Source organism: Homo sapiens, chromosome 2 (assembly GCF_000001405.40).
Source record: "Homo sapiens chromosome 2, GRCh38.p14 Primary Assembly".
In the NCBI taxonomy this organism is placed as follows: Eukaryota; Metazoa; Chordata; class Mammalia; order Primates; family Hominidae; genus Homo; species Homo sapiens.
The window spans coordinates 219,900,816-219,913,441 of NC_000002.12; the positions used below are offsets into that span (position 1 = coordinate 219,900,816).

The following is a 12,626-nucleotide window of genomic DNA, read 5'->3' on the forward strand; positions in this document are numbered from 1 at the left end:
GAGGAGAATGGGAGAGACAGGGGAATGGCCAGTCAGTGGAGCAGTCAGAACGTACACATTTATTAAGCTCTCCATCTTGTATGAGCACAGTTCATGGCACCCCTCAAAAAATTACAATAGAAACATCAAAGATCACTGATTGCAGATCACCATAACAGTTATAATAATAACAAATCATTTGAAATATTGTGAGATTTATCAAAATGTGACACAGAGACAGGAAGTGAGCACATGCTGTTGGAAAAAATGGTGCCGAGCGACTTGCTCAAAGCAGGATTGCCCAAAACCTTCAGTTTGTAAAAAAATGCAATATATGAGAAGTGCAATAAAGTAACGCGCAAAAAACACGATATGCTTGTATTTGAATATGTTTATGTGCAGTCTAACTTTCAGTTGTCTCACTGCTTAGAATCTCAGAATCTTGTCTGACCACAAGCCTCCCTTCTGTGGGACTTTCTTGTTTCGTTGGTCTACGTGGCCATCACCTGGGTGGCTGACCTGGGGCTTATTAATTCTGCAACCTTGACACCTCATTGACGCAGCTTATGCTAATTGTAGGTGCTGCTACAGCCTTGGTTCTATTTGTTCCTTTTTTCTCTTTTAGCTGAAACCTCAGGGGAACTGGTTTTGTCATGTTGCTCATTTCCATTTTTCGTTGCTTTTCGTTATTTCTGTGGTAGACACAGTGTCAGGCTGAAAAACGTGTGTTCCTATTTTTAACACAATGTAGGAAAATCCAGAAGAAAAGAAGACATAAGCATGATTTTTACTAAAACCTATACAGTTCTTCATTTTTCCCTGTGATATTTATTATTTATTTTTAAAACAAAGCCTTTGGAGCATCTTAAGCAATTTAAACACACAAAAAACAAAACAAAAACTGTCATACCTGCTCAGACATTCTTGAGCACGTGGTGTGAAAACAAAATGAAGCAATCGCTTACTCCAGCAGATTCCCATACCTTGCTAAATACCCTAACAACTTGGCTACAAATATGACTACAGGGGGCAAAGGGGACTTGGGTTGAACAAGACAACAACAAACAAACCAACCGACCCCACTAACTGGTTGACGAGATGGAGGATACATGATTGCAGAACCAAAGTTGGGGGATGTGATGAAGTAGCAAATAGCCACAACGGGCAGTGGTTCCCAGCTCTTATTCATTTTCTTTCTTTCTTTTTTTTGTTTTTTTTGAGACAGAGTCTCGCTCTGTTGCCCAGGCTGGAGCGCAGTGGTGCAATCTCAGCTTACTGCAACCCCTGCCTCCTGGGTTAAAGGAATTATCCTGCCTCAGCCTCCCAAGTAGCTGGGATTACAGGTGCCCACCACCATGCCTGGCTAATTTTTGTATTTTTAGTAGAGACAGGGTTTCACCATGTTGGTCAGGCTGGTCTCGAACTTCTGACCTCAGGTGATCCACCCGCCTTGGCTTCCCAAAGTGCTGGGATTACAGGTGTGAGCCACCCCCCCCGCCCTCTTATTCATTTATAAGTTACTAGTGTGTGGTTGTTTGGTAATGCGCATAGGACACTGTGGGGTGCTGACATCCAGAGAGAGTGACAGAGGTGTTGGAGTGGGGCTGCTATGTGGGGGAGAGCCGCAGTCTGGTGACAATACTGAGTATGTTACTGTGTGTTTTTGTGTGTCTTTGGAGTGAATGAACATGGCAGAAAAAGACCCTCGAAGGGGAGGTTGAGGTCAGACAAGGAAGGCCCTGAATGCCACATCAAGTTTGCCATGGCCCCCACATTCTGGTGACACTGGTGTTAGTCAAGGTTTCAGCAGGCTCATAGTAGGATAAATTGAGCAGTTAATTAGAGGATCATTTGTAAAGGAGTGAGCATGGTGTGGGGAAATTGTTCAAGGTTAGTGCAGTCCTTGGATTTAAGAAAAGAGAGTGCAGGTATCACCTGCAGGCCTGAGGGTGTGAGGGGGGGGCATGGCTCCCCTACCCTGAGATGGCTGGGGCTGTGTGCAGACCCCACAGGGGAGGAGCTAGGGGATAAATACTTGCTTCCCTTCCTCCATCTGGTCTGATTTCCTAGCGTTGCTGCCTGTACTAGTCAGGGTTCTCCAGAGAAGCAGAACCACTGGTGTGTGTGTGTGTGTGTGTGTGTGTGTGACAGACAGAGGGACAGAGAGAGAGAGACAGAGAGAGAAAAAGAGAGAGATTCATTCGTTTATTTAAGGAGCTGTCTCATGTGATTGTGGAGGCGTGGTGAGTCCGAAGACTGATGGGGTAGGCTGTGAGGCTGGAGACTCAGGGAGTTCAAAGGCTGTCTGCTGGCAGAATTCCTTCTCACTCAGGGGGAGGTCAGTCTTTGTTCTATGAAGGCCTTCCACCTTCATTGGATAAAGCCCACCCACCTTATGTAGGGTATTCTGCTTCAAGTCCACTGATTTAAATGTTATTCTCATCCACAAAACACCTTCATAGAAACATCTAGAATAATGTTCGACCGTGTATTTGTGTACCATGTCCAACCAAGCTGACACGTTAAAATTAATGATCACACTGCCTCTCGGTCGATCTCAGTCAGAAGCCAGAGGGCAGGGGAATCTGGATGCTGTGGGGGTGTGTCAGCCTCTGAGGCACAGAATGGTAAAGGGTGGACATCGAGGGGCAAACCACTTACCCCAATGTGATGTGGAATAAAGTAAGGGGAGGGTTTTACCTTTGCACCCTCTCTCTTCTGTCTAGAAGCTTGGATTGGGGTCGTGGGTCTTTCTGAACTTTAAGTGTTTCCAGAGACCCTATATAGTACAAGCGCTCCTCCTGCCTCCCTGCAAATGAGTACAAGCATCAAGCAGAAATGAAATCTCTTAAAACACTGCTGGTTTCCTTTTATACTTTAATTTTTTTCTTAAACTACACGAATGGCAGTATAAGCCGTGTGCAATTTCAAAAGGCAGTCACCTAGACGGTCTGGAGAAACAGCAAACTTTCATCTTGAGATCCGTGTGCCGATTTCACTGTAATAATCCCCCCACATCCTGCAACCTGCACTCTGGCTGTTCTGCACTTGCAGAGGATGGTGCAGAAGGACTTAAGTTGTTTCAAGAAAGATTTAAATTAGATCTGATAAGGAGCTTTATTACTGATGCTGTGGAATACTGGGAGGGGGTCTTTCTGTTGGGCTATTTTGGATTTTGGACTTTACTGAAAAACAAATAGGCCAGGGTCAAATTCACATCAGAGGAACACATGTAAAATGGAGACTTGAAGAGTTATTTAGCTAACGAATAAGAAATGGTTTTTAATAATTGGATAATTACCTTAATTCTCCACTTCATTTTGTATGATGCAATGTATTTTGAGTTCTGCAATGATGTTCTGGCGGAAGTGACAAGAATTGGAAAACTATTATCACAAACAGATGACAAAGTGCTGTACTGGAGATACCATAGGTCTAAATTCAGCTGACCTCAGGGATGGCTTCTAGAAGCAGAAAAGCCATGACTGCAGGGGCCACCTGGATAGGGGGATGTAGACCAGCCTCTGCCCTGGTTAGCAGGAAAGTAGCTGGGAAAGCCTCCTTCCCTCTCTTGGATCTTCCTCCCTAAAATGAGAGTCCAGTCATGTCCCAGAACATGGAGCAGAGCCGTGAGCATCACCTCTGCCAGATAACACAGCTCAGATCATTATTCACATGCATGTCATGTATGGCATGGCTCATGGGTGGAGGGAAACCAACCTTTTTATTCTGGCTATAGCCGATTGGACTGGGCAGATACGCTGAGGCCACAGAAAGGCCATGTCTGGGCTGGACATAAGGGATGTCAGAGGCCTCCGGGGTGCCTGGGGGAGAGTCTGCTTAATCCAGGTGCCCACTTGACTAGTAGAAATCAAATCAAATCAAATAAGTGTCTTCTCTTTCAAGTTAATGCTAAGAAATCTGGCAGGTCACTGAACTCGCTACCGCCCCAAAATGCCGAGTGATGCATCTGTCTCCATGAGGTTGCTGTATGTTTCAGAACTGGGATGCAAAGTTCAGCTTCCCGTGACACCCGATTTTCAGAAGTATCCTTGCAAGACATTGCCATAATTCCAGGTGATCTGAGTCCCTCTTTCTTGTCCGCTTGACTGGTTTGACTGACTTGACCAGTACAATTTCATCAAGCTCTAACAGTGTGAGATTCCAATTCTACTGTGATGTAATATGGTGCCTGGGAGGCAGGGTGGTGAAGGAGCTAAGTAAATGGGCTCTGGGATCACACCACCTGGGTCCATTTTGAGCTCTGCCTGTTAGGTCGGGGTAGGTTCAACCCCTGTAGCACAAACACCAGGTAAGAATGCCTTCACCAAGCAAGATGGGTGTTTATTTCATGATCACTTAACAGTGTGGGTGTAAGCAGTTCAGGACTGATATGGCAATCCTAAAATTTGAGGGATGCAGGCTCTTATCTTGTTGCTTCACCATCTTCAGGGTGTTTCTCTCACCCCTGTGCTTTAGGTGGCTTTCCACAACATCCATAATCCTGCCAGAAGAAGAGGGGAGAGATGAAGGGAAGGTACAGAGGGAAGCTACTCACATCACTGCAGCTAAAACCTATTGGCCAGAACTTAGTCACATGGCAACACCAACTGCAAAGGCATTTGGGAAGTGTAACCTGCATTAGTTTTGTATTGCTGTATGACAAATGAGCACAGACTCAGTGGCTTAAACGACACAACTTTATTATCTCTCAGTTTCTGGGGATCAGGAGTGCTCGTCCTTTGCTCAGGGTCTCATCAGGCTGCAATCAAAGTGTCATCCAAGACTGTGATCCCATCTGAGACTCAGGATGCTTGTCCAAAGTTACTGGTTATGGGCAGGATTTAGTTCCTTGCAATCGCAGGACTGAGGTCCCACTTCCTTGCTGGCTGTCAGTGAGTCCGTTCCCAGCTCCTAGAGGCTGGCTGCTAGTCTCTGCCATGTGGCCCTTTCCACAATAAGGCATTGCACCTTCAAGGCCAGCAAGAGCATTCCTCTGACTCTTTCTCTTTAGCAAAGGCCCAGTTTCTTTTAAGGGCTCACCTGATTAGGCCAGGCCCACCCAGAGTCATCTCCCTTTTGACTGACTCAGAGACAACTGATGTGGGACCTTAGCTCCATCTGTAAAATCCCTTTACTGCTATCATATAATACAGCCTAATCTAAAGGAGCAATCATTTCATCCTATTACCAGTCCTACTTGTACTCAAGAAAAGGGGGTTTAAAGGCTATATACACCAGGGGGTAGGAATCTTGGGGACCATTTAGAATTCTTCCTACTTCATAATCTTTATTTGGGTGGCTATATGCCCAGCCAATAGTAATCAATACAATTCTGATTTCTGTAGTTCTATGACTGGAGAAGAATGGGAAAACGATATTGGGGATAACTAGTCTCTGCTATAATAACTTATTATCCATGTTATCTTGTTATTTAATTTTTCTGTGCTTCAGCTTCTCCTATAAAACAGGGATGATGACAATACTTCATACAAACACAGAAATAAAATAAGGGAAAAAAATTCAAGAGTCATCAAAAAGTCTAGCCATATCTTAATGACTAATGAGTACAAAAGGGGCTTGTTGAAATCTTCCCAATCTTGACCTTTTTTATACAAGTGCTAGACAAGTGGAAATCTGCAGAATATTCCCAGCACCTCAAACTCACCATTGCATAACAAATGATGTCACACAGTGAAGATGCCCCCAGGTGACATCACATCCTGAGAGGAGGAGCCGCTAGGGCAAAACCTCTAGAACCTGATGTGCATTTTGCCAGGGAAACCAGAGTTGCACGATTTCTATGAACTTGAAAGTTAATCATGTCCAGTACAGATACAAAGCAAGAGTGTGCATATGTGTATGGCATGCCTGTGTGTGAAATTAGCCACATATTGATTAAACTTTCCTATATGCTGAAGGGATGGGGTGGTTTAGAGAGCCGTTGGAAGAAACAAAGCAATGAACTTATCATGTTGCTTGACTCAACGAGCTCTGGGATTTAGAAACTAAATCTGAGCCATTAGTATGTGGCTTTACTTTTTTAATAGGAAAACATTCCACATAGGTCTAGCAACGTTCACGTTAGGGTTTTTAACACTTTCATATGCATCTCAGATAGCCAACCTGGAGTGGTCCTTGAGTAACACACAATACAAACAATTATTCCAGACATTTCAAAAATGAAGTGCTACCAGCTTCATTGTGTCCCCCAGCTCTGGCGAGTAATGAAAGACATATTCTTAATGTGAAACAAAAGAGGATTGTGAATATTAAAAAGCAGCCCAGCCAGTTAGAGTTAAACCGTCGGGATAAGATATTAACTTAAACCACATGTGAAGTGCAGCTGTTTCTGGTGAAGCTTTCATCAGGCTCAAGTGGAAAGATTGGTGGGTTTTAATATGTGGTTTCCAGCCAAGCCAATAGGAATCTGGGGAAAATGTGTGTGAAATCAGGCCTCTGCTGGGGGGTCTCGGGCTCTGGGCTGGCTTTTCTTTCTGTGAACATAAACAAAGGTAACCCAATGCTGAGGGCAAGGCCTGCTCCATCCAAAGGTTTAGCTGAGAGACTCTGGAGTGACCAGCCAGCCTGTGGAGTTTCTGGACTCTTCATTCTCCCTTTCAAGAGGAATGCATAAATAGGTCCCATGGTGTTAAGAGTAGGGATGAAGGAGGAGTCTTCTTGTATCTGTTCCCTGCCACTTCATCTCAGGAACATCTAGAATTTGTTCAGCTCCTAATAACTGACAGCATCAAATGGTGCCAACTCTATTCGAACTTACTGGCATGCTGGTTGGGTTTCACCTCTGAGGATTTAAATTTGCTTAAGAAAAGTGGTGCTATATACGATGCCTCACCTACCTAAGAACATGAAAATATTAGAAATTAATGAAAAAGTATGAGATGAGTGCAAAATAAGGATTAATTGCACACTATTTCTTTACAAAGACTAAATTAGTTAAATAGCTTAAAGGTTGGTTGGGCTGCTGCCTGATTTTGTCCAGCCAGTTCTGGAGGCCCTAGATGATTGCTTCTGGACTCACTGCTGGGTGACGCTGTCAGCCTTCCACTGCTTACCTCCTGCCTCATAATATTGCTTTCAGCTTCAGAGGTGTGGAACAGAAATAATCTTTATGAGCCCACAAATTCAGGAGTTGTGGGAGAAAAGTGGAAATGTCTGAACTGTACTCATTGACCTTAGGAAAACAGTTGAAATATTACCATTTCTGTGCATTGATTCATATATTTAACATTTATTAGGCAGCTAGATGATTCAAAAGACTTTGCAAAATGCTCTTGGGGATGCAAAGATGTGTAAAAGGGAAAGGAATTGACATTTATTGAGAATATACTATATGCCAGACATCACAGAGGCCATTGGATTACATTTTCTCATTTAATTCCCGAAACCTTGAAGGGGAAAGATTATAAGATAAGATCTTTGCTCTCAAAAGCCTTCCAGTCTGTGATTAAATAGTAGATAAAAGACATATTCAAATATCCATGAAATAAGATATTCTAACTATATGCCAAAGGAGAGGTTTTAATGGGAGTTAAGAGTCTGGAGTCATTACTTGGGGAATGAAAGAAAGTTTATTGGAGAAGACCATATTTGAGTTGGACACTGAAGTTTGGGTAGGATTTAGATTCACAGAGAGGGAGGACAAGGCATGACCCAGGTGAAGGAGAAGATGAGGGCAGGGGAAGCAAAAGGAAGAAGCAATCCCTATAAGTCTCATGCTACTCAGAGGTCAAGGGAAGATCACTTATAGAAGTTTCCCTTATTACCACTTCATGGCTCTTGTACCAGGTGAAGTCCATACCTTGACTTTAAGGCCACACTGTATGAAAAATGCAGGTCTTTAAACACTAGATGCACATTCAGTGCGGTGAGATGCTGACACCATCAGAGGCCTGATCAAATTAAGGCCTGGTGAGGGCAGTGCAGGCTCTCCTTTCCAATCTCATGCTCACTCTGGGGCCCAAGTGCGTGGAGTGGGATGACTGGCCCAGTGGCCAGCACTGTTTCATGTGGGCTCATCTCTCTGTCTAGTTATGATGGGGCTGTGAACTTCAAAGGTTAACTTCACATAGAATTTGATTATGAAGACTGAGATAGGGACCAAAATACAGAGTCAAGTCACTGTGGGTGAGAATATGTCTGTGGAGGTGGGGGCAGTGTTGGAAGGTCAGGATGTTGGACAGGCCAGCCCTGCTGGGGACAGAGAGTGAAGGATTGGTGTTTGGACTGCATTTGGTGTAGGGTTTGGTGGCAGTAGGGTATAAGGAAAAGTTTCGGGTAAGCTTGTTTCAATGCATTGGGGCTACTGGATTGCAGCTAAGAAGTGGAGATGTGTTCTCTGAGAATTAGTCACCCACATTCTACTTCATCATGTTGCTTTTAGGTTGGCACAAAAGTAATTGTGACTTTTGCCATTACTTTTAATTTGGCATTACTTGTTGAGTCTGAGAAGAAAGTAAGTGCCTTTTCTAAAGCAGCCCCATTCCTGATGGAATGTTGAAGCTGAATCCTCATGCTTGAGGTTAAATCAATCAAGTCACTAGGCACCAGGCTCTAGGGAGGCTGCAAGGAAGTTTGGCGGACAGTTTCTATCCTCAGGCAGTTCATTGACCTATAATATTCTCATGAGAAGGTGACCAGTAGTATATGGTGAGTCAGGTGCCTATAAGCCCAACCAGTGACCCAAAATGTTGTACTGGTCTCCTAGGGCTGGTATAACAAAGTACCCCAAACTGGGTGCTTAAACAATGGAAATTTATTCTCTCATAGTTTTGGAGGTTGGAAGTCCCAATTCAAAGTGTCAGCAGGGCCAGATTCTCTCTAAAGGCTCTAGGGAAGAATCTTTCCTTGCCTTTTCTGGCTTCTGGTAGTTTCCAGCAATCCTCGGTGTTCCTTGGCTTATGCCAGCATAACTCCAATTTTCTCTGTGTCTTCAAATCTCTCTCCATAGAGGGACACACGTTTTTGGATTTAGGGCCCACTCTGATCCAGTATGACTTCATCTTAATTATATCTGCAGAGACCCTATTTCCAACTAAGATCACATTCATAGGTACGGGGTTTAGGACTTCAGCATATCTTCTTGGGAGACACAACTCATGCCACAGCAGATGTTAATGTGCAGGCTGGCTGGATAGAAGGACCCTATGAACTGGGATAGTCATGGATGACATCTTGGCATGATGGGACTTGAGCTCTTTATCAAGAATATGTGGTATTTGGATGGAGAAGGGGTGGGCTGGACTCCAAGGAGGGTGGAAGGGGAAAAAGGGAAGAATTATATGGCTGGGGTCACAGAGACTGACTGAAGCAGATTAGAGACTGGTGAGGAGCCAGCCTGGTAGGGACAGAGGAATGAACTGGGGAGTGATGAAGACTGACACTTTGGAAAGAAACTGGGGCCAGATTGTGGAGCTACCCAAGCATACTGGAAAACTGAATGGCTGGGCTTCAACCGTATTTCCCATATTCTGGAAAAAACTCCATTCAACATCCCCAAAAACCTTCAGAAGACAGAGGCAGTCACACATGAAGAGCCTTATGCCCAATCTGCTTCTGAAGTGTATCCCCAGATATCTTGTAAAAGCTTATGGGCCACCCAGTGAAGTGGGTGCCTTGGGTTTAGCCTGAAGAAGACCTACCAGCTCTGGCAAGGGCACTCATGAGGTTAGCCAATATGGCATTAGTAAGGCAGAGCAGTGAGCAAAAGGCCTGGGATCTGCTCTTCTTCTCTTTGGGCATCAGATTTCCCATTTGCAAAAAGCAATGGCTTTGGTTGTGACATGCTGCAGTTTCTTGACTCTATATAATAAAATGGTGTAACTTATGTTTGAATAGACTTAAACTAAGTTCATCTGCAAATATTCCTTCATTTGATACAGCATCTCTATGAGATGGATAGAGAAAAATTTTTACCCCATTTTGATAGATGAGGACATAGACTCAGAGGAAGTTCACTGACTTGCAGAGGCACTGAGCTGGTTAATTAGCGGAGCCAGAACTTGAACACAGGTCTTCAGAATGCTAGTCCAGTGTTTTCCATTCCACACAATGCCTCCTTTATAATCAGAATTTCTCCATGTGCTCATTCATTCAACAAGCAAACATGTATTAAGGGTCCGCTATGTGACAGGTACTCTGATAGGCCCTAGAGATACATGAATAATTAAAGCAGGGTCCCTATCCCAAGAAGGTCCCAGAGTGCTGGTCCAGTGCAAAATCTTGTACATAATGGTCGGGCAGAGACTACACTTCAGGTCGGGTGTCCTCATCCCACCAAGCCAGGCCCGCCATAAGATCAAGGGTCTACCGGGCAATGCTCTTGGGCCAGTTTTTTAAAATTTCAGTTCATAAACATGGAGCTGCTACTGAAGGCACATCTGACTTCTTGTATAGTTTAGTCAGTATCTACTATATTAGCAACACTTAACATCAACTAGAGAGAGGACTGTCAAAAGGGAACTTCTGAAATTGAGTGAACTACTCTTACTGAATTTGTAGCTGTTGTGAAATAACTCTCAGGTCACAGTCTCTTAGATTTGCATTGCATCTCTCAGTTTACAAAGTCCTTTAATAAATGTAATAGCACTTGATAGTGTTACAATCTGAGACGGCATCTCCTTTAGGAACAAGCAGACCTCAGACCCTACGACCTCTAGGTGAGTGACCTTCACAATTGCTTAGCACAGTGAAACCTCTAGCTCCTCATTTGCAAAATAAAGATGGATGATAATGGTGCCAGTCTCATAGGATTTCTGTGTAGGAGGATGTGTGTGAGGTGCCTGGTTGACCTTCGAGAAATGTGAGTTCCTTCTTCAACAGAGCAATGAATAGCTCTCTTGAGTGAGGGAAGCAGCCCAGCACGCTCAGCTGGCAGGCTGTTCTCCACACGTGTTTTAGACTATGCTGGCCTTTGAGGGAAAAGGATGTGGTTCTCCTGACTCCTGTCTCTACTAAGATTTTTGCATAGTCTCCCATAGATAAGCTTGGTGCAAAAGTGATTGCGGTTTTTGCCATTATTTTCAATGGTGCAATCACTTTTGCACCAAGCTAATAGAAACCAGTGAGGTAGACAAATCAGTGAGGTATAATTTGGGAAACCTCTGACTGAGTCTACCATTTTTAGTTGCTTTCAATTTGATTAAATTAGTGCCCAAATGCTTAAAGTGGTATGCCCAAGGTCGTGGTCACCAGCCCATGCCTTCAAATCCAGAGCTCTTTCCATTAAGCCACTTGTCCAAGATACATCCCTCAGAAGTGGTGATATCCTCAATGTGTATGAGAAAGGATATCTTTAGAGATGCTGGATTCAGAGGCTACCCTTCTCAAAGTTCAGCCGGGAGACATGGAATGAAACCACGGCTTTGTTTTACAGCTAATATTTTAACTTAATTTGTTCTGTTCAGCTTGTCCAAATTCCAGGTTGCGGATAAATCAGGATGATGGCTCACACGCTGGTCCCATCTACCAGGGATAAAAGTGACCCAGAAATATCTGGAAGCCCTGGGAGCATTTAGATAGATTCCTTAAAATATGATTCTCCACCCAATCGCCTTGCTAGGGGCGGAGTGTCTCAGGCATAAAAATACGACTTAGGGCGATGAACAGTTAAAGTCTAAGAACTTGTAAGCAATAGAAGCAGGAATTATTCACTCTTACCAGTGCTGGCTCTGTGTTCAGTGTTTGCTCGCCATCTCATACATCTCTTCAGAAGGGAAAAACAACTAGAATTTGCCACTGGGACACATGTATTTTTTCCTGCACTGGAGCTGATGGAGCTGTTGGAAAACACTCTATAAATCTCGTCTCCTGTACCGTGACATTCAGCCCTTTGGGGCAGCTCTCACTTTATGTTCATCCTGCAAACTGCAGTAGATGAGACTTGCAGCAAGACCCAAGGGCTCTGTGTCCAGTATCCTTGCCAGGTGAACAAAGGGAAAGGAGTTGCCGAGGCCTGGGTTGTTGTTAGAAGTTGGGCTCCGTTTTCCCAGCCAGAAATCAAGCTCACATTCCAGCCGCCAGAGAAGAGCAATGCTCTAAATGAGGTCACTGTGTTTGCAAGGGAGAAACAATTATGTGCTTTTCCTCTCGCACTTATTACTCACAGCACTTCATAGGGAGGACATAGCATCTTTTTTGTCTGCCCCCGAAGAAACTTTACAAAATAAAACTGGGTGCAGAAAGAGGCTGACTTTGGATGAAGGTGCCTCACATTTTATTGGCTAGAAGGTAGATTCCTTTTGATTTTATTTTCCAATTTAATACAAGGTGTGCCTTGAGAAATGCTTATGTTAATTTGAAACAGGAGTAAAACAGTGCCAGGCCCTTGTGTGGCAAGGCCCTGTCTGTCTGATCACACCGGGCACCTGGTCTATAAATCCGCACCAGGGCTTAGACCTGAGGCTGGCTCCCAGGGTTGGGGGAACCAGGGCAATGCTGGGAGTTATCTGGCTGCATGGGACCAGCATGCCTTGTTCTCCAACCACACAGTGTGTGACACGTTATCTGGGACAGGAGATTCAGAAGGGAGACATTGCAGAGAGATTTGTAGAGAGGACAGTAGCCTCGTCCTAAGATGAGGTGTGGTGTTGAAGGGTGTATTAGTCCGTTTTCATGCTGCTAATAAA

At 44.2% G+C, this 12,626-nt stretch overlaps 2 long non-coding RNA genes and 1 other non-coding gene across 4 annotated transcripts in view, besides 2 other annotated features; 1 reads left to right on the top strand and 2 right to left on the bottom strand.

The window, feature by feature from the left end:
• Positions 362–431: a silencer, noted in NCBI's record as "silent region_12363". NCBI's record gives its function as "represses an Ori minimal core promoter by ATAC-STARR-seq in GM12878 lymphoblastoid cells {active_cell/tissue: GM12878}" and the evidence as "EXISTENCE:reporter gene assay evidence [ECO:0000049][PMID:35858748]".
• LINC01803 (long intergenic non-protein coding RNA 1803) lies at positions 3,236–4,074 on the bottom strand. Its single transcript, NR_146975.1, has 3 exons — positions 3,700–4,074; positions 3,430–3,564; positions 3,236–3,338 (listed from the first exon to the last, which is right to left on the bottom strand). It is a non-coding gene; the product is annotated as a long intergenic non-protein coding RNA 1803 (long non-coding RNA).
• A 110-nt stretch (positions 4,075–4,184) lies between these two features.
• The window catches only part of LOC105373890 (uncharacterized), a 35,773-nt gene continuing 27,331 nt past the window's right edge, over positions 4,185–12,626 (top strand). Inside the window, exon 1 of one of the 2 annotated variants that reach the window (XR_001739233.2) lies at positions 4,185–4,291. This is a non-coding gene — a long non-coding RNA (uncharacterized LOC105373890). The remainder of the gene's footprint in view (positions 4,292–12,626) is intronic. The other variant, XR_923927.3, reaches the window with a different exon arrangement.
• Positions 5,549–7,743: an enhancer, noted in NCBI's record as "VISTA enhancer hs1635". NCBI's record gives its function as "enhancer in: limb[5/5] | facial mesenchyme[5/5]" and the evidence as "EXISTENCE:transgenic organism evidence [ECO:0001131][PMID:17130149]".
• MIR4268 (microRNA 4268) lies at positions 5,687–5,750 on the bottom strand. Its single transcript, NR_036228.1, has one exon. It is a non-coding gene; the product is annotated as a microRNA 4268 (primary transcript).